The sequence below is a fragment of the Homo sapiens genome, chromosome 1 (assembly GCF_000001405.40).
Source record: "Homo sapiens chromosome 1, GRCh38.p14 Primary Assembly".
Taxonomy (NCBI): Eukaryota; Metazoa; Chordata; class Mammalia; order Primates; family Hominidae; genus Homo; species Homo sapiens.
In genome coordinates, this window is record NC_000001.11 from 17,809,626 (window position 1) to 17,831,701 (window position 22,076).

Here is a 22,076-nt window from a genome sequence, read left to right on the forward strand (position 1 = left end):
GAACATGAACCCTGTTGTGAACTGTGCATGTGAGGGATCTAGGTTGCGTGCTCCTTATGAGAATCTAATGCCCGATGATCTGTCGGTGTCTCCCATCACTCCCAGATGGGACCATCTAGTTGCAGGAAAACAAGCTCAGGCCTCCCACTGATTCTACATGATGGTGATTTGTATAATTATTTCATTGTATATTGCAATATAGTAATAGAAATAAAGTGTACAAGAAATGTAATGCACTTTTGAATCATTCCGTAAACCAACCCCTACTCCAGGTCTGTGGAAAAATTATCTTCCACAAAACCAGTCACTGGTGCCAAAAAGGTTGGGGATCGCTGATACAGTGTCTAGATTTAACTGCAGTTTGTTCTGATTTTATTCAACTTTTTCTTCCACTGGATTATTCCCATCAGCATAAAACCTTAATACATTATTTCTTCTCTTGAACAAAACAACCAAAACCTCCTGGGGCCCCAATTCTCTGCACAATCTACTGTTGTCTTTCTTTGCTTCCTTTCAGAGCAGAGCTCTTCAAAGTTGTCTTGCTGTCTCCCATATCTCTCCCCACATCCTTTCTTTTCCTAAAAGCTTTTCATTTAGAGAAGGTCCAAGAATAGTTCAATACGTTCTCCAATATCCATCATATATATTCACTAGTTACTATCTTTTGACCCCATTTGCTTTGACACCTTTTCTATCGACACATGCTGGGTTTTTCTTGATCTATTTGAAAGTAAATCTCATGATATTTTACCTGTAAATACTTTTTCATGGATCTGCTTAAAAATAAGAATATTCTCTTTGAAAACCACAACATAGTGATCAAACACAGGAAATTTAACATTGAAAATATAACCCATATTCAAATTTTACCATCTGTCCCCAAAATGTTCTTTCAAAAATTTCACCTTAAAATGTCATGTGGCGAGACTCGCTTTTTTTGATGTATAGTTCTCAGTTCTGATAAATGCATGCAGGCATGTAACCACTCTGGCAATCAAGATATGAGACAGTTCCACCACCTCCAAAAATTCCTCCAGTCCTGTATAGTTAACTCTTCTCACCGCCCCAGAAACGACTGATCTGTTTTGTTACTATAGTTTTGCCTTCTCCTGAATATCATATAATTGGGAATATGCAGTATGTAAGTCTGGTTTATTTCATGTAGCATAGTAATTTTGACAGTCATGGATGTTGTCATGTATATCAATAGTTCCTTTTTATTGCTAAGTAGTATTCCATTGTATGGATGTACCACAGTTTGTTCATTTACCAGCTGAAGAACATTTGGGTTGTTTAGTGATTATGAATTAAGCCTCTGTAAACATTGGTGTAAGGGTTTTTGTGTGAACATAAGTTCTTATTTCTCTGGAGTACATAGGAATAGGATTACTTGTTTGTATGGTAAGTATATGTTTAACTTTAAAAGAAACTCCTAAACTGTTTTCCAGAGTGTACACTTTTATATTCCCACTAGCAGTGTATGAGAGTTCCAATTTCTCCACATCCTTGTTAGCTCTTGGTATTGTCCTTAAAATTTTATGGTTTTAATTTGTTTTTCTCTAGTGACTAATGACATTTAGCATCTTTCAGTGTGCTTACTTACCGTCTGTGTAGCTTATTTGATGAAGTGTGAAAATCTTTGGCCCATCTTTGGAAGTGAGTTGTTTGCTTTCTTATTATTGATTATTAGTTGGTCTTTATATATTCTGGATACAAGTCCTTTAGCAGATGTGTGATGTGTGACTTGCAAATAGTTTCTCCCAGTCTTTGGCTTTTCATTTTCATTCTCTTGATAGTGTCTTTCAAAGAGCAGAATTTTAAAATTTTGGTGAAGTCCAGGATATTAACTTTTTCTTTTATGAGTGGTGCTTTTGATGTTGTACCTAAGAAACTTAGATGTTCTTAGATCTAAGGTCACACAGATGTTCTTATGTTTTTTGCAGAAGTTTTATAATTTTCTGTTTTATATCTATATTTTACATGATCCATTTTGAGTTAATTATGTTTTTTGTAAACAAGTGAGGAATGAGTCGAGGTTATTATTTTTACACGGAGAAGTCCAGTTTTTCCAGCACCATTTGTTGAAAAGACTATCTTTTCATCACGGAATTGTCCTTGTACCTTTGTCAAAATCAATTGATTAGATTTGTGTGAGTCTATTCTTGGACACTCTGTTCTTTTCTACTGATCCATGTGACTGTGCTTTTACCAATGTCACATTGTCTTGATGACTGGGTTTTCTGTCTTTTTTTTTTTTTTTGAGACAGGGTCTGGCTGTGTGGCCCAGGTTGGAGTGCAATGATCTGATGTCAGCTCACTGCAGCCTCTGCCTCCTGGCTTGGCCTCCCAAGTAGCTGGGACTACAGGTGCATGCCACTGAACCTGGCTAATTTTTTTATTTTTTGTATTTTTAGTAGAGATGGGGTTTCATCATGTTGCCCAGGCTTGTCTCGAACTCCTGAGCTCAAGTGATCTGCCTGCCTTGGCCTCCCAAAGTGCTGGGATTATAGGTGTGAGCTACCACACCCAGCTCTATCTTGATTATTATAAACTTATAGTGGGCCTTGAAATCAGATAGTGTGAGTCTTCCAACTTTGTTCTTTTAGAAATTGTTTTGGCTATTCTGATTCCTTTGCCTTACCATATACACTTTAGAATCAACTTGTTGATATCTAACGGTAATCCTGCTGGGATTCTGAGATTTTGATTAGGATTGAATCTATAAAGCAGCTTAGGTAGAAATGACATTTTAATGATATTGAATTGTCTAATCTGTGAACATAGCATATCTATTTTTTTTCCTTTTTTTTTTTTTTTTTTTTGAGACGGAGTCTCACTCTGTCATCCAGGGTGGAGTGCAATGGCGCAATCTCAGCTCACTGCAACCTCCGCCTCCCGGGCTCAAGCAATTCTCCTGCCTCAGCCTCCCAAGAAGCTGCGACTACAGGCGTACGCCACCACGCCCTGTCAATTTTTTTTTTTTTTTTGTATTTTAGTAGAGATGGGGTTTCACTGTGTTGCCCAGGCTGGTCATGAACTTGTATTTTAGTAGAGATGGGGTTTCACTGTGTTGCCCAGGCTGGTCGTGAACTCCTGAGCTCAGGCAACCCACCCGCCTCAGCCTCCCAAATTGCTGGGATTACAGGCCTGAGCCACCACACCTGGCCATCTCTCTATTTAGGTTTTCTTTGATTTATTTCATCAGTATTTTGTAGTTTTAAGCACATTTAATGTTTTGTTAGATTTATACCAAAGTATCTCTCTCATAATTTTTGATGTTATTGTCAATGATACTTTTTTAAAGAAACACTTTTCAGCGATTTATTGATAGTATATAAAATATAATTGGTTTTTAAAATATTTAACTTGTATCTTGTGACTTAGTCAAATTCACTTATTAGTTCTAGGATCTTTTTTGTAGATTCTTTGGCATTTTCTACTTAGACAATTATGTCTTCTGCAAATAGGGATAGTTTTATTTATTTCCAATTCATGTGTCTTTTGTTTCTTCAGTCTTGCCATATTGCACTGGTTTAGGACTTTCAGTTCAATGTTGAATATGCGTGGTGAGGACTGACATCTTTACCTTGTTCCCAGTCTTAGGGAGAAAGCATCCTACTTCTCACTATTACCTATGTGAGTTGTAGGTGTTTGGATATTCTCTTTATTAGGATAAGGAAAGTCTTCTCTGTTCCTAGTTAAAGATTTTTATGATAAATGCATGTTGAATTCTATCCATTGATTTTTTTTGCATCTGTTGAGATGGTCATATGGTTTTTCTTTTTCAGTCTGTTACTCGTTTGAATCATACAGATTTAAAATATTGAACCAGTGTTGCATTCCTGGGAGAAGCCCCATTTAGTCATTGTGTACTATTCTTTTTATATATTACTGGGCTTGCCAAAATCTTATTAAAGAATAATATATCTTCATGAAAGATTTTTGGTTTGAGTTTTGTTTTATTTTGTAATATCTTTGCTTTTGGTTCAAGGTAATACTGGCCCCACAAACTGAGTTGGGGTGTGTTGCCTCCTCTTTTGCTTTCTGGGAGAGATTGTGTACCGTTAGTATTATTTCTTCCTTAAATGTTGGGTAAATTCTCCAGTGAAACCGTTTAGACCTAGAGTATTCTTTGTTGAAGGTTTATAACTAAAAAGTCTATTTCTAATAGTTATATGGCTATTTAAATATATATTTCTTCTTGATTGAGCTTTGGTACTTTATGTCTTTAAAGGATTTATCTATTTTACCTAAATTGTCAAAGTGTCAGGTAGAAAGTTATTCCTAATATTCTCTTGTTATCCTTTTTGTGTCTGTAGAGTCTGAAGTGATGCCACCTCATTCCTGATCGCAGTCTTTTGTGTCTTTTCTCTTTTTTCTTAGTCTTTGATCTTTTCAAAGAACTAGCTTTTAGCTTTTGGCTTTATTGACTTTTCACTATTTGTTTTCCATTTTCAATTTCGATTACAGTCATTCACCACATGACATTTTGATCAACCACAGATGGCATATATGATGGTGGTCCCATAAGATTATAATATTGTAGTTGTACTGTACCTTTTCTATGTTAAGATACACCAATACTTACTGGCTGGATATGGTGGCTCATGCCTGTATTCCTGGCCCTTTGAGAAGCCAAGGCAGGAAGAACGCTTGAGGACAGGCATTCAAAACCAGCCCGGACAACAGAGCAGACTCCATATCTACCAACAAAACAAAACAATACATACAATTATATTACAGTTGCCTACAGTATTCAGTACAATAACATGCCATACCAGTTTGTAGCATAGCAAGACTCTATATCTACCAACAAAACAATACAATACATACCATTATGTTAGTCACCTACAGTATTCAGTACAATAACACGCCATACCCGTTTGTAGCATAGCAAGACTCCATATCTACCAACAAAACAAGACAATACATACCATTATGTTACAATCGCCTACAGTATTCAGTAGAATAACACGCAGTACCAGTTCATAGCATAGCAAGACTCCATATCTACCAACAAAACAGGACAATACATACCATTATGTTACAATCGCCTACAGTATTCAGTAGAATAACACGCAGTACCAGTTCGTAGCATAGCAAGACTCCATATCTACCAACAAAACAAGACAATACATACCATTATGTTACAATCGCCTACAGTATTCAGTACAATAACATGCCGTACCGGTTTGTAGCATAGCAAGACTCCATATCTACCAACAAAACAAGACAATACATACCATTATGTTACAATTGCCTACAGTATTTAGTACAATAACATGCAGTACCAGTTTGTACCATAGCAAGACTCCATATCTACCAACAGTACGTACTATTATTTTACAATTGCCTGCAGTATTCAGTACAATAACATGCTGTACCCGTTTATAGCATAGCAAGACTCCATATCTACCAATAAAACAAGACAATACATACCATTATGTTACAGTTGCCTACAGTATTCAGTACAATAACATGCAGTACCAGTTCGTAGCTTAGGAGCAAATGGCTATACCATACAACCTAGGTAAGTAGTAGGCTATACCATATCTTTGCTTTCAATGGCCATACATATTTTGGGAGGAGAAAAATATACTTTATAATTTTTTAAATATTTACCGTTTCTGTTTCTCTTTCTTCATTCCTGAGTGCTAGATTCAGCATTATTTTCCTTCAGCCTGAAGAGCTTTAATTAGCATTTCTTTTTAAAGCAGTTCTGCTAGTAATTTTCTTAGTTTTCCTTCATCTAAGAATGTCTTAACTTCATTCCTGAAAGATTTTTTGCTGGGTATAGAATTCTGAGTTGATATCTCTTTTCTTTCAGTCCTTTAAAGATGCCTGACTGTCTTCTGGACTCCATTTTTTTTTTCCCCTGGTGGGAAGTCTGCAGTCATTCAAAGTGATATTCACCTATATTTAGTGTTTTATTTTTCTCTGGATTCTTTGAAGATTTAAAAAAATATTTGGTATTTAGCAGTTGGGTTATAATGTGGTTTTCTGGATGGTTTGCATGGTTTTCTTTGAATTTATTTTCTATGGGGTGTGCTGAGCTTCCTGGCTTTGTAGATTTGTCTTTGACCAAATTTGGGAAATTTTTAGCCATTATGTCTTCAAAACTTTTTCTGAGCCAGTCTTTTTCCTCTCACTTTGAAACTTCAATGACATGAATGTTAGATCTCTTTATATTGCCCCACAGGTCTCTGAAGCTTTGCTCAGTAAATTTTTTTCTCTCTGTGTTTTAGATTGAATAATTTCTATTGATATTTGAAAATCCCCTTACTCATTCCTCTGTCGTCTCTATTCTATGGAGCAGAACTTTTCTTTGTTTTTATTTTTTATTCTAAATTAAGAATTTACAATTGTATAAATGTATGGGATACAACATGTTATAATTTATGAATACAAGGTGGAATAAGTAAATCAAGCTGGTTAACACATCCATTACCTCTAATCCTTAACATTATTTGTGATGAGAGCTTTCAGAACTTACTGTCAGCGAATTTGAAATGTACAGTACTCTGTTACGAACTATATTCACCATGCTATGCAATAGAACTCAAAATATTAATAGCTTTTTTTTTTTTTTTTGAGACCAGGTTTTGCTCCCATAGTCTCTAGGCTGAAGTGCAGTGGTGCAATCTTAGCTCTCTGCAAACTCCGCCTCCTGGGCTCAAGCAATCTTCCCACCTCAGCCTCCTGAGTAGCTGGGACCACAGGCACACACCACCACATCTGGCTAATTTTTTTGTACTTTTGGGAGAGATGGGGTTTTACCATGTTGCCCAGGCTGGTCTCAAACTCCTGAGCTCAAGCAATCCACCCGCCTTGGCCTCCCAAAGTGCTAGTATTACAGGCGTGAGCCTCTGTGCCCAGCCTAAAATATTAATAGCTTTTCAGGCTAAAAATATTTGAGCATTATGCTGTGAGACTCTGTGTTCTTTTAACATCCTATGGAGAACATTTATTTGGTTGTGTTTTAGCCTTCAGTCACCCCTGTTGCACGCAGCCTGCAACTCCGTCTTGTCCTTTGTGGGTGGTGATTCCGCTGTGAGTTCAGTACAAAGGCCTGTGCTCTACTGCCATGGGTGTGTCCCAGCCATGCACAGGTGAGCTGGGACCTGTGCCCGTTCATATATAGAATCTGGGGAATCCTTTCTCTGACTGGCTCCCATTTCTTCAGTATTCTTCCCCAACTCTTTGAGTTGCATAGGTTCCTTTTCTTGGTCTTATGTCCAGAGAGACAGGATTTTGCTCAGTCTTGGCTGTGCTGGAAACTTGTCTCAGGTCAAAGTTTGAGAGAAAACAGGAAAATAAAACAAATAGGAACCTCACCCTCTGCAGGTTGCTTCTCCAAGTTTTGATTCTCTTCAGTCTGCCTGTTATTTTTTTCACTCATTGTCCTCAGGTTGTTGGGTTTTTTGTTTTGTTTTGTTTTTTGTTTTTTATTTGTTTTTTCATTTTGTCTAGAATTTTTAGTCCTACTCAGTAGGAAAGAGGGCTGAAGGAGGCTTACTTCATCCTGGTGAGCATCAGAAGCCTGTGGTAATGTACCTTAATGCCATTTTTTTTTTTTTTCTGATCTGGGATCAGAAACTGTGCGTGGTGTTGGCTGCCATGTCTTTCAATTTTGAACACTTCTTTAATATTTCATTGTTGTGTATGCTGTGATATTTTTGCAGAGCCTGGGCCAGTTTGGTAGAATTGCTCTCAATCTCTCACCCTTTCTTGAATCAACCTTTTCAAGCTTTTTCTCACCTCTTCAATGGACATGCTTTAGCCAAGGCTGCTGGTAACTTCCATGTTGCTAAATCCAATGGATAGTCCTTTGTTTTCCTCCTAATTTCTCATCCCATTCGATTCTTCCCTTCTTGAAATACTTTCTCTGCTCGGTCCCGGGACACTGTTCCCTCTGGGTTTCTTGCCCTCCTCCCTGGCCATTCTCACTCAGTCCTCTTTATTGGTGCCTTCCCAAGGCCTGGCCACTAGACCTTAGAGGCCCTCAGGCACAAATCTTTGTCTACACTACATCTCTTCATGACCACTTCCATCCCAACCACTTTTCTTTTTTCTTTCTTTCTTTTCTTTTTTTCGAGATGGAGTCTCACTCTGTCACCCAGGCTGGAGTGCAGTGGCATGATCTCGGCTCACTGCACCCTCCATCTCCTGGGTTCAAGCAATTCTCCTGCCTCAGCCTCCTGAGTAGCTGGGATTACAGGTGCGTGCCACCACTCCTAGCTAATTTTTGTATTTTTCAGTAGAGACGGGGTTTCGCCATGTTGGCCGGGCTGGTCTCAAACTTCTGACCTCAGGTGATCCACCTGCCTTGGCCTTCCAAAGTGCTGGGATTACAGGTGTGAGCCACCGTGCCTGACCTCAACCACGTTCAATTCCATCCATTCAGGAACTCCCAATTACACCACTAGCTCAGAGATCTTTACATACACTTAATAGGCACCTCCAACTTAACATGTCCCAAATAAATTTCTTAATTTCCTCCCAAATGCCAAACTCTTCCCCCATGGTCTTTTCCATCATAGTAAATGGATACTTTATTCTTCCAGCTTTTCAGGCTAAAAATTGTGGTATCTTCCTTCATTCTTCTTCTGGTCTAACATTTCAGTCTATGAGCCTTACTTAGGTATATCCAGAATCTGATCACCTTGCACCCTCTTCCTGGCCACCACTTTAGCGCAGGCTACCCACACCTTTCACCTCCTGTAATCTTTCTTCTGCTCTCTGCAGTCTATCCTTTCTATTGGCCGAAGTGATCCTTTCACAAGTGAAGTCAGATCATGCCATTCCTCTGGCCAAGCCCCCAGTGGCCTCCCACATCTGCAAGCATGATACAGAGGCTTGCAAGGCCCTTCTCAGATCTCCAGTATCCTCCCTCCACTCACCGTGTCCTTGCTACACAGGCCTGCTGGCTGATCCTAGAACTCATCTGACCTTGTCTTCCTCAGGGCCTTTGCACTTGTTGTTCCTTTGGGGTGGAATGCTTTTCCAGGTATTCACATGCCTTATTCCCTCACTTCATTCAGTTTTCTGCTCAGATGTCACCCTAGAAGGAGGCCTTTGATGACTGCTCTGCTTAAAATGGCATTGTGCCTCTGTGCCTCTTGAGTTCCCTGTCCTTACCAGGTTTTCTTTTTCTCCGCTGTACTGATCTTCCCTGACATGCTGTGTTTGATTTGGTGCTTATGGATGTTCTTTCTTAGTAGAATGTAAACTCCAGAAGGGGAGAAATCATGCCAGCCTAGAACCGGTTTTATACCTAGGTAGATGCTAATGGGGATTTGTAGAATTGGTGGCTTAGTAAAAATGCTTCTGAATATACAGATTTTATCTCTGTCTTCAAAGCTGGCTCCTTGGACCCATCCAAACTTTCTTTTACAGTCATGTGCCAGGGGAAGAATGGCCCCTGCCTCCCAGCCTCCTCCTCCCAGGTCAGGTCACTTGGGCCACCAACCTGGAGTCCTTTTCCATCCCCTACCCTTGCCATGCGCACCTTGTTTCACAGCCACAGTGGAGATCACTCTGCCAGCGTCTCCCATGACACCACATGCCAGGGCCGAGAAGCATTTATCAGTCACCTGCTCTCAGCAGGGCAGAGCCCGCTTCCCGGAATGTCATGCAGCCGGCCAGTTCTCTGTCACTCTGGATGATTGAGTGTGAGGAATCTATCACTCAGCCTGCCAGGAGGCGAGGCAGGAGGCCCGGTCACCACAGCTCCATCTCCACGCTCCTTCTTGGCTCTCCCCAGGTCTATGTCAGAGCCGATTAAAGGCAGATAAGCCTGTTCTCTGCCCTGCAGCCGGTGACAGCAGGGAGCCACTGGCCAGGGCCAGGCCATGGCTCTCATGCTCAATAGTGATGGGTAGATGCAACTGCTGTCCAGAAACGGAAGCCGAGCAGATAGCTGGGGGAGCGACAGCCCCAGAATGCTGCCTTCGGGCTGAGCTGCCTTTCCGGAGGCCTCTCTTACAGGAAACACCCACATACAGTCTAGGCACCCAGTCTGCTGTCTGTCTGACAATTTGTATTCTGCAAGATGAGTTCATACACCTTTCATTGAATATTCCCACACCCGCTGGATTTTTCCCTTAAAATTTTTTTTTACTAGGGCCAGGTGTGGTGGCTTACAACTGTAATCCCAGCACTTTGGGAGGCCTAGGTGGGCGGATTGCTTGAGCCCGGGAGTTTGAGACCAGCCTAGGCTGTTGCCTAGGAAAATTAGCTGGGTGTGCATGGCTTGCACCTGTAGCCCCAGCTACCCAGGAGGCTGAGGTGGGAGGATTGCTTGAGCCCAGGAGATTGAGGCTGAAGTGAGACGCGATCGTGCCACTGCCCTCCAGCCTGCGCAAGAGCGAGATCCTGTCTCAAAAAAAAAAAACTTTGTTTTTACTAAAAGTTTACTCTAAAAATAATATAGTTGCGGGAATTTAACAAATGCATACAGAAGTGTGCCCAGCTCCACAAACAAGATACAGCATAGTTCCATCATGGCCCCAAATTCTGCCATGTCCCCTCTGGTCATCCCCTCTCACCACCTGGCTGCCAGCGGCCACTGATCTGATTTTGGTCCTTATAGTTTTACCTTTTCCAGAATGTCATGGGAATGGAGTCATACAGTTTGTCGTCTTTGGGGTCTGGCTTCTTTCAGCCTCGGGCATTTGAGATTTATGCACATATTCATGTTATGGGGTGTATCGGTTGTTCATTCTGTTTTATTACCAGGTAGTATTCCACTGAATGGAGATTTGTGTATTCATTCCCTAGCTGAAGGACTTTGGGTTGGTTTCTATTTTTGGCAGTTAGGAATAAGGCTATCTGGCTACTATACGTATGTGCATAAAGGTTTTTGTGTGAACGTACGTTTTCATTTCCCTTGAGTAAATACGTAAGAGTGGAAATGCAGGTCATACGGTAGGTGTATGTTGAACTTTTTTTTTTTTTTTTGAGATGGAGTTTTGCTCTTGTCACCCAGGCTGGAGTACAATGGTGCGATCTTGGCTCACCGCAACCTCCACCTCCTGGGTTCAAGGGAATCTCCTCCCTCAGCCCCCCCAGTAGCTGGGATTACAGGTATGTGTCACCACGCCCAGCTAATTTTTTTTGTTTTTGTATTTTTAGTAGAGACAGGGTTTCTCCATGTTGGTCGGGCTGGTCTTGAACTCCTGACCTCAGGTGATCTGCCCGTCTTGGCCTCCCAAAGTATGCTGAACTTTTTAAGAAACTGCCACACCATTTTCCAAAGTGCTGGTGTCATTTGCCATTCCCACCAGCTGTGCATGGGATTTCCAATTTCTCCACTTCCTTGTCAGCACTTGGTAAGGGTGGGCCTTAATTTCGGTCATTCTAATAGGTAGGTGTACAGAAATATCTTGTGATTTTAACTGGCATTTTCCTAATGAGTAATAATGCTGAATACCTTTTCATGTGTTTATGTGCCATCCATCTATCTTCTTTGGTGAAGTGATTCTTCAAAGCTTTTGCCCATTAAAAAAAAAAATTGGCTTGTTTCTCCTATTACTGGGTTTTGAGAGTTCTGTATTAAATATATGATTTGTAAGTATTTTCTCCCAGTCTATGGCTTGTCTTTTCATTCTCTTTGTAGTAAATAGCGTCTTTGGAAGGACAAAAGTTCCTAAATGTGATGAAATCCAGTTTATCAATTTGTTCTTTTGTGGGTCAGACTTCTAATGTTCTAAGGAAACTTTGCCTTCGTGGTTTCTCCTAGGTGTTCTTTTAGAAGTCTTATGGTTTCAGGTTTTACATTTATTTCTGTGATCCATTTTAAGTTAATTTTTTGTAAGGTGTGAGGTATGGGCTAAGGTTCTTTTTTTGGTATATGGACATCCAATTGTTCTTTGCTATTTGTTGTAAAGACTGTCCTTTCTCCATTTAATTATTTTTCGACCTTGTCAAAGAGCAAATGACACTTTTTTTGTGTGTGGGCCTATTTCTGGACTTTCTGTTCCATGGATCTATGTTTGTGACTATTCCCTTTTTTTTCTTTTTGAGATGGAGTCTCACTCTGTCGCCTAGTCTGGAGTGCAGTGGCACAATCTTGGCTCACTGCAACATCCGCCTCCCGGTTTCAAGCGATTCTTGTGTCTCAGCCTCCCAAGTAGCTGGGATTACAGGCGCACTACCACACCAGCTAATTTTTGTACTTCTAGTAGAGATGGGGTTTCATCATGTTGGCCAGGCTGGTCTTGAACTCCTGACCTCAGGTGATCTGGCCGCCTTGGCCTCCCAAAGTGCTGAGATTACATGCGTGAACCACCGTGCCTGGCCTTGACTATTCTTTTACCAGTACCTCCCACATTGTCTTGGCTACTGTAGCTTTTGAGTAAGTCTGAACATCAGGTAGTGACCATACCTACCTTTTCAGCAGGGGGGCTGCTGTTCTCCCCACTTTACAGATGAAGAAACTAACCACAATCATGGAGTCTTCCTGATAGTCTCCCTTATCATCAGGTGTTAGATGCTTAGCTCATGTTTAACACCTAATGCCTGGTGCCTCGCATGCTTGATGCTCAGGACATCGCCTTTGCAGTCTGGGTTGGGTTTGACTCTTAGCTCTGTTTTTGTTAGTTGTATACCCCTAGGAAAGTAATCTTACCCCCTGTGCCTCAGTTTCTTCATCTGTAAAGTGGACGTCACCTGCCTTATACATCGTGGCAAATATTAAATGAGTCCATGTATCAAGTGAAACCATGTGAAATTGCTGATCTCTGACCATTTTCACAGACACAAATGACAGTTTTACCTAGTCCAACCTAACATGCAAAGCATTCCTTGTAGTACTGGAGAAAGAGTAGGTTCTCCAGAAAATGGTCCCTGTAGCTGCTGCCATGCTCACTAATACAATGCCTGCTTCTGCTGCTGTTGCTATGACATTGTTATTACTGAAGGTGGTGGCTCTGAGGCTGATGTTTCATGTTCCTTGTGCCCTCTAATCAGGCAGCCAGTGTCTACAAGGACTTCCCAAGTGGCAAGCTTCTTGCTGAGTCTGCCAAGAGTAATCCAACCCTTTGCAGAGTTGGATTGTGGGGCAGAAGTGCTCACCTAGCAGGATACATGTGTGTGCAAAGTGCAGTGGGAGAAGCTGAGTGGGCAGGAGGGGTGGGGGCCACTTCCTGGATGTGGCCCATTAAGGGAGCCTGGTAGGATGGTTGGGAATTTGGGATGGGGGGAGTGTTCCAGGCACAGGTAATGGCTTGTGTAAAGGCTTGGAAGGGGCAGTGGACAAGCTTCAGGGGGAGCCTGAGGTTTGACTGTTGGGTAGAGGGGGAAGCTGCTTATGGTGGCCTAGGCTGCCTGCACAACTAACCCCATCCTTTGCTTCCGCAGGTCCCACCCACCTCTGCCTCCGCCATGGCTGCAAGAACCGTTATCATTGACCACGGGTCTGGCTTTTTGAAGGCTGGCACGGCCGGCTGGAATGAGCCTCAGATGGTCTTCCCGAACATCGTGAACTACCTACCGTGCAAGGAGAACCCTGGCCCCAGCTATGCCCGTAGGCGTGTGAGCCTGGGCATCGACATTTGCCATCCTGACACCTTTAGCTACCCCATCGAGCGGGGCCGCATCCTCAACTGGGAGGGTGTGCAGTACCTCTGGTCATTTGTGTTGGAGAACCACAGACGGGAGCAAGAGGTCCCCCCTGTGATCATCACGGAGACACCCTTGAGGGAGCCTGCGGACCGAAAGAAGATGCTGGAGGTGAGGCCTGCCGGGGCCTGCTCCCACTCGGGAGCGGGAAACAGACTGACACTATGTCTGGACTGATTGGGCACCAGGAATTCTGCTTTTTAAGATAAATTGCCAACCAGGTGTGGTGGCTTATGCCTGTAATCCCAACACTTTGGGACTCCCAGGCAGGCAGATTGCTTGAGCCCAGGAGTTCAGGACCAGCCTGGGCAATATAGTGAGACCCCTGTCTCTATAAAAAATACAAAAATTAGCCAGGTGTGGTCCCAGCTACCTGGGAGGCTGAGGTGGGAGGATCAGTTGAGCCCGGGAGGTCGAGAATAGAGTGAGCTGAGATCACGACACTGCACTCTAGCCTGGGCAACAGAGCAAGGCCCTGTCTCAAAAAAACAAACAAACAAAAAAACCCAACAGAAACCAACAAATTGCCCCACAAACATTTCCCAAGAACCTAGTGAATGCCTGGTGTGCCACTAAGCAGGGGAGCTCACGGAGGCCCCACCTGCAGACGGACATGCAGCAACCAACGTGCTTGGTGGAAAGGGGGTTACCAGGGAGACGTGGAATATTTGCTTATGGATTCCATAATTGCTGATACAGGCCATGTTCTGGCCCTCAGAGAGCTTCCATGAAGGGGTTAAGAAATAATTCCAGGTAGTGATGAGTTCTAGAACCATAATGAAATGGGATCATGGTGGACTGTTGGGGGTGGGGAACCTGTTTGAAGAGAGCGCTCAGGAAGGGCTTCTCTGACGGAGGTGATTTCAGCAGCAAGAGCGGCAAGAGGCAAATAGGATGGTGAGGTTGGAGGAGGCTGGGCCTTGTAGGCCTGGTAGGCTGTGGGGAGTGCTTGGATTCTACTTTAAATCAAGGATTGGCAACCCAGTGAGCCAAATCCGGCCCACCACCTATTTTGTAAATAAAGTTTTATTGGAACATAGCCACACACATTCATTTATATGTTATGTAAGATAGAAAGAGAGAGGAAAGAAAAAAGAACATATGCTCATTGCCTGGTAGGTAAAGCCCTATTATTATTTTTTAAATAAAAACTTTCCAAACATGAAGACAAAACAGGAATTCTGATATTTAGGGTTTGGCAGAGTGTGCTTTCATACGACAGCATCTGAGTTAAGTTGTTGCAGCAGAGACTGTTTGAGACCATACATCAAGTTAAAGGCTAAAATATTTACTATTGTAGGTTTACTAGGTAAAATACGTGATGCCTAGTTAGACTTGAGTTTCAGATAAATTACAAATAATGTCTTAGTATTTAAGTATGTTTCATATTGCATGGGGCATACTTACACTACAATATTATTTATTATTGATCTGACATTCACATGTAACTGGGCATCCTGTAGTTTTATTTGCTGAATTTGGCAACCCTTACTGTCTATCCCTTTACAGAAAATGCTTGCCAGCCACTGCTCTAAGTGAATAGGAAGTTCCTGGGGAGTTTTAAATGGAGAGTTTTAAATGGGGGAGTTGTATCTGATTTTCTATTTGAAAAAGAGGACCTTGGCTGCTATTTTGAGAAATGGCTGGTGGGGGGACAATTTTCTGAGAGTAGTAATGGAGGGAGCCCCCTCCCACTGAGGGGAGACGATGGGCTTGTGGGGGCTTGAAGAGGTGAGTAAGTGGCTGGGACCACAGAAGGGTTGACTGTTAGGATCTTTCTGCTTCTATGGGATTAGAACCTTGGGGAGGCTGCCAGAGCTGAGGAATGGGGGGCAGGGGGGCTTTGTAAAGATTCAGGGGGTGAGGAGCAGGGGGAGAAAACCAGCCCAGGGACTCTGGCAAACCCTAAATACCAGAATTCCGGGTTTGTCTTGACGTTTGTAAGGTTTTTATTTAAAAGAAAAAATAAGGCTTTTCCTGCCAGGCAGTGAGCATCTTTTCCCTTTTTTTCTTTTTTCTTTTCTTTTCTTTTCTTCCTTCCTTTCCTTTTTCCTTCGTTCTGGCGTCTTTTTTCTTGTCTGTCTTATCTTTCTGGTCTGTCTTTTCCAGTCTTCCTCCACTGTTTGGAGACAGTGGTGAATACGCAACACTTGTTTCTTTTCTAATCTGTTCTTCCTTCTAAAGAGGCGGTTCAGGCTGCACATGTGACCCGTGGCCATGTTGCTCCTGCAGCCAGTGTCCCAGAACCATTTCTTGCAGCCACAGAGCTCTTCTCACCTCTTCACCGAAGTGGTCTTCTGAACAGCCACGACCAGACAAGCTCCTGAGGGCAAACCCAGCTCCCCTTCTAATCCTCCAGAGCTGCTGCATTATCCTCACTGCATAAGCTCCAGGGGCCCTGGGCGCAGCATCCTGGGGCAGCCCGAGAGTCCCCCCGAGGATGGGGCTCTGTGCTGACTTCAGCTTTGACTGCTGAGCAGGCTGGGGGGAAATGCACTGAGTGAATTCTCCCTCGTTGCAGATCCTGTTTGAGTTGCTGCATGTCCCATCGGTCCTCCTGGCCGACCAGCTGCAGATGTCCCTGTATGCCTCTGGCCTCCTGACCGGAGTGGTGGTTGATTCTGGCTATGGCCTGACCCGCGTGCAGCCTTTCCACCAGGGCCGCCCCTTGCCCGCCAGCGGCAAGACGCTGGAGTTCGCCGGCCAGGATCTCTCCGCCTATCTCCTCAAGAGTCTCTTTAAGGAAGATTGCGATAGACGCTGCCTGTTTCAGCTGGAGACAGTCGCCGTGACTCAGATGAACAAGTGCTACGTGCCGCAGAATCTGGGGGAGGCCCTGGACTTTCGTGAGAGGCAGCAGAGTGCCTTGGATGAGAGCAACACCTATCAGCTCCCAGACGGCTCCCGCGTGGAGCTGACCCCCATGCAGCGGGTGGCTCCTGAGATGTTCTTTAGCCCGCAGGTGTTCGAGCAGCCGGGGCCCAGCATCCCACGGGCCATTGTGGAATCCGTGGAGTCCTGCGAGATCTCCCTGCGCCCCCTGCTGGTCTCCCACGTGATGGCCTGCGGGGGCAACACCCTCTATCCCGGGTTCACAAAGCGCCTGTTCAGGGAGCTGATGGGGGATCACGTCTCCTCCACCAAGGCCACAGTCTGGGAGGGTTCCAATAGAAACTTTAGTGTCTGGCTAGGAGCGTCCGTGGTGGCTCACCTTTCTACCTACCAGTCTGAGTGGATGTCCCGAGAGGAGTATGGTGAGCATATGAGGATGTGACCCTACTGGCTCACTCCTGAGAATGGGCTCCTGTTAGATGGGCACGGGCGGATTAATTTTAGCAAAATGTTCTGGGTGGGGGTAGAATGAGGTGGGGTGGGGTGAGCTGGCTTTGGAATTCTAGGGGCATGAGGGTATTTTTTAGGTTCTAAGGTTTTATCTTGTTGCAAGAGTGGGACCTACCCAAGGGGGAAGACAAGATGTCATCCTTGGAAACCCTGCAGGGGACAGTTTTTCCAGGGTGGCCTATCATTGGGGTATGAGTGGCTGACTGCCATCTCCATGCCTGAGAGCCACTGATTTTTCATTGGCATTTCCCCTGGTTTGTCTCATTCTTCTTGGTTGAGTAGGTTTTAACTGGGGTAGCACTCCTGCTAGGAGTCCCAATTATTTTTGACTAGGGGATGGGGGACAGTTGACATTTCTGGTCCTACAGGCCCTTTCTGGCCAGGGAGGCATTGCTGCAGGTGAGCCTGGGATGCCCTTGCCACCCGTGGTTGGATCTTGTTTTATATCTGCAAATAAATAGCTTGTTTGGAAGCAATGCTGGCTCCTGTGATGGATGGGGGTAGGGTGCGCAGCCCCTTGGGGAGACTTAGGGAGTGTAAGTGTGAGAGAGCCAGGTGGGGGCCAGGGCGGGCTCTGAGGTGTCTGGGGCCTATGAACAGTGGCTGCCACTGAGCAGAATAGGCAAGGGTCTGGACCCCGTGTTCTTTCACTGCCACATTCTATCCATCCATCCCAGGTGTCCCAATATTCTGTTTAAAGTTTCCCTTCTTATTCGTATTTGTTTGGTATATATCTGATGCATATTCAAGTACCTAGCATGTTTTAGGAGCTGTGCTGGACCTTGGGGACTTGAGAAAGATGTACAAGGTTTCTGGTTTCAAGCTTACAGCCTCCTGTGGGATCTATTGTAGACAGTATATAAGTAAACATATTTCTGATGATGAAGAATGAAATGAATCAAATGTGACACGGTCATGTGATCTGGAGGTGGAGGGATGGCCACTTTCAATGGAGTGGACTGAGATGAGGTTGCTAGGGACCATCAGTAACTGTGTCTTCTCCTTCCACGGCACACTGTGAGGCAATGCTCCCAAGTCTCCAGCAGTTATATAGGGCCAGGTGGCTGAGTTCTGGCTCAGTTGGCATGCACCTGACCTTAAAAATACTCCTTCACAGCCTGTGGGATGGGTCAATGGGGAGGACGTGTAAGCCCTAGGGGATGGATGGCAAATGCTGCAGATGGAAGGAGCCTGAGTGCCTAGGTGGAGCAGAAACCCCTGCCCAACCCCACCAACACTAGCCTGTGGCATGAGGAATCTATGTTCAGCCACTGAGAGTGTGGGGATGTTTGTTACAGCAACTGTTTTGCTTACTCTGACTAATACAGAGAAGGGAGCCACAATATACTATTTATTTAATAAAATGTGTTTTCTGTTAAGTGCCAGAACTGGGGTTTGAACCCAGCCTGGACTCTCAACCACAGTGTTATCCAGCTGTTTCTGAAAGGGATTCTTGGCTCCTTAATGTTAAGAGCTGGAATAGAGTAACAAGTGTAGTTTGGAAGACTGAAGCTCAAGGAACCCAGATATCTCAGGGCAAGTAGAGGAATTTGGAGGGCAGAGTCCAACTCACCTTGTCTTTGAACACATGAGCCATATTCTCATGTGTTTGCTCCCACACTTGAAGCATCAGCAGTCCCCAGGGAAAAGAGTGGGGGCCTGGAATAACAATTCTTAGGTAGACCAACTCAGAACCAGCCTGGTGCAAGCCCCAGACTTGGTGTCAGATTGAGTTTCAGGCTGGCCCTATCATGAGCTGAGCTGCCTTGGGCAAGTTATTTAACCTCTTTGAGTCTATCAAGTATAAAATAGGAAGTAATAACCACCTTCTCTCAGAGATTTGGAGTTGAAGATGAACTAAGATAGGGGATGAGAACTCACTTTGAAGCTGTGACGTGCTACTGAGGTAAGAGAAATGACTTTCAAGCTTTTAAGTTGATGTCACTCGCCTATTAAACATGAGTGTTAATAACAATGGCAGCTACCATCGCTTGCCAGGCGTTGTGGTGAGAGCTTTACAAATGGAATCACATTTAATCCTCACGTGCACACTGTGAAATGAGTGACGTTTGTCTCCACTTACAAATAAGAAAACCAAAGATGAGCGATGTTAAACACTTGTTCAAGTTCACACTCAAGTTCAAGCTAATCATGATTTGTCAGAGTTAGGAATGGATTCAGCATTCCTAGAACACTAGGCTAAAAGTGGCTGAAACAGATTTATTTGTCTCAGGCAACAAGTAGACACTCCAGGTGAACAGTGTCAAATCTACATCACCAAGGTCTCTCTTTTTCTTTCCATTTCTCCACCTTCAGCATGTAGGCTTGTTGGATTGTGGTCACAAAACAGCTGTGGCAGCTCCAGGCATCACCCCCTATATTTCCTGCAGGAAAAGGAAGCATGAAGGGAGTGTCTTATCTGGGTCTGTCACTTGCTATTAGAAAGTTGTCACCTAGCAGATTTCTGTTTGGCTCATTACTTGGAGGTAGCTGAAATAGGTGACACACAGGTTTGAGTGAGCTGATTCACAGTGTCTGTTCCTTGGCAGAGGAGGGCTTTGAATCTAGGTCTGTCCATACTAAAGCCTGTGTTATCACCGATAGTGGCAGGCTGCCTTCTCAGCTTTCTGGGCCTTCTTGGTTCCCTTGGCCTGAGATGCGGATGTGTGATTTTTTCCAGGCTTGTGTGAAAGCTGCTTTCGGATAGCAGTCGAGGTGTGGGCACCCTGGGCAGAAATCTTTGCATTTGAAACCCCTATATTTGTACACACCTGAGCCTTAAAAGGCAGAAGTGGGGGAAACTTAGAAATGAGGACAAGGAAAAGGAGGGCCTGGAGAGGAGATGGGCAAGGGGCATTTTCTTTCCTTATTTAGCTCTGGGCAACTGTCATCAGAACCCTTTTCCTCATTTCATTCTGAATGTAACATTTAACCTTTCTGTTCAAGCATCAAATCTGGCTGCCTAGTGTATAATTATGAACTTTTCTTCACTTTCTCTCCCCCCTCCCCCACTCCCAAAGCTTTTAGAACTCCCTTGTTGGGTACTATCTCTCTCCTCTGACTCTCCAATTAAATTAAAAATAGCAGCTCCATGGGCCGTGTGGGGCCTTCAACCTAATGCGGAACTGCTGGCACGCCTGGCCTGGCGGGGTGGTACGTGGTGCCCAGAAGATGCCTGCTGGGCTCCAGCAAGTCCTGGCAGCTGCTCAGAGCTCGAGGAGGCTCATCCTCTGTGAGAGGTCTGGGGCTGCCTGCCAGGGGCAGCCAGGTGCAGAGGGGAGGGAGGCAGGGTCTTGGCAGCTGGGTCAGGGGCTGGGTGGGGCTGGCAGAGGGGACAAAGGGAAAGAGCCCCCAGGCAACCCATCCCCAGTTCTGAGGATACAGTCCTGCCAATTTCTGCTGCCAAGGCTGGGGCTTAGTACCCTTGCATCTGGGTGTGGGTAGGGTTTGGATGCCTGAGTTCCCCAAGATAACCCTGGCAGAAACTTTAGGTTCTGCTGATGCAGAGAACCAAGTCGACATTGACACTGAGCACCCTCCTGGCTCTAGAGGAGAAGTGTGTGGCCTCTCCCACCTCCAGGGCCCTTTCTTAGACAGATGGTAAAATGGACAAGGGCATGAGCTCTGAAGCCAGACTTCATGGACTGCAGTCCCCGCTCTGCTGCTTTCTGGCTCTGCTAACCTCCCTATGCCTTACTTTGCCTCTCTGTAAAGTGGGCCCAATAAAGATGCCTACCTCAGGGTGGCTTAGATGATTGCCATATAGTTTTAGTGAGTTAACATACATAAAACACTAAGCGAACACCAGGCACATGAAGGTTAGCTATTATTTCGTACACACCAGCCTCTATTGGCCAAATCCCTAGGCACACACCTGGCTCATTTTATATGTACTTGTTCACAGGCAGATAGATGCTAGTGATACAACATGGTTAAAACATAAAGTGCTGGCTTAGTTTCCCCGGGGAAAGGCATTGCAGGGTAATTTCTTTTCTTGTCTGAATGTTGTGGTCTGAATGTTTGTATCCCTACAAAATTCATGTTGAAACCTCATCCCCATAGTGGTGGTGGTAAAAAGGTGGGGCCTTTTCGGAAGTAAGTGATTGTCATGAGGGTTCTGTCCTCATGAATGGGACTAATTCCCCATAGAAGAGGGCCTTGTGTGCCTGGCCCTCCAGTCTTCCACAATGTGAAAGCACAGCATTCCTCCCTTCTGGAGGATGCAGCGATAAGGCACGGTCTTGGAATCAGAGAGTGGACCCTCACCAGACACCAGATCTGTGGGTGCCTTGATCTTGACCTCCAGACCTGTGAGCCAAACATTTCTAATCTTTGTAAATTATGCAGTCTGTGGTATTTTACTATGGCAGCAGGAACAGACTAAGACATGGAGTGATGGGGTAGAATCACATTCTGGACACGGAGGTATCACAGGTGTCGGAGGGTACATGGCACCAGGGAGAGGTAAACAGCCAGAGGTGTCTTCTTGTAGGAAATGATGCCTGAGGTGGCTCTTGCCAGAGGAACAGGACTTTGCAGATGCTGTTCCTTTTGTTTGGAATGCTTTTCCCCACTGCCACCCCCATGGTTGCCTTTGACACCTTGGTATGGGGGGTTAAATAGATGGAACATTTGAAGTGGCTGGGGAATGAGAGGGAGTAGGGAAGGATGAAGGTGGTTGTTGACAGGCTCAGCTCTTGAAGGACATCAGGGGTCACATCAAGGACAGACTTGTAAGCAGAATTATGACATCACTGGAGAACGCAGGGCTCTCTGGGTATAGCTCGGAGAATATAGGGGCTCAGAGAGGGATCAGACAAAGAGTGATAACATACACCATAAAATAGATATTTCACTAGACTCTAGGCTAACAATTCTATATCACCTGGGACCTTGTTCCCCTCTGATGTCTTGGGTTGGGAATTTGGCTTCAGTGATACTTGGGGTCTTGGTGAGTTTGAGGGGCTAACAGATCTTCCCTATCCTCCAGCAGTGGTTGCAATTAGTTATCAATTTTGGAGCTATTTTAGTGCCTGGGTTATGGCAGGAAAGGCAGCCCAGAGTGAAAGACTTCGGAAGAGTAATCTCAAGGTGGAAAAATGAGATGAATTCAC

The 22,076-nt window shown here is 44.4% G+C and overlaps 1 protein-coding gene across 2 annotated transcripts in view, besides 1 other annotated feature; it reads left to right on the plus strand.

Moving 5' to 3' along the window:
- The window catches only part of ACTL8 (actin like 8), a 71,731-nt gene extending 54,293 nt beyond the window's left edge, over positions 1-17,438 (plus strand). For both annotated transcript variants that reach the window (NM_030812.3, XM_011542212.3), the window contains exons 2-3: positions 13,360-13,731; positions 16,142-17,438. In NM_030812.3, the coding sequence (NP_110439.2) occupies positions 13,384-13,731; positions 16,142-16,894 (1,101 nt within the window). In that variant the 5' untranslated portion in view covers positions 13,360-13,383 and the 3' untranslated portion in view covers positions 16,895-17,438. The remainder of the gene's footprint in view (positions 1-13,359; positions 13,732-16,141) is intronic.
- Positions 16,403-16,992: an enhancer, noted in NCBI's record as "H3K4me1 hESC enhancer chr1:18152523-18153112 (GRCh37/hg19 assembly coordinates)". NCBI's record gives its function as "activates a minimal SCP1, AML or CMV promoter by ChIP-STARR-seq in naive H9 embryonic stem cells {active_cell/tissue: H9 hESC(naive)}" and the evidence as "EXISTENCE:reporter gene assay evidence [ECO:0000049][PMID:30033119]".
- Positions 17,439-22,076: the final 4,638 nt, after the last annotated feature.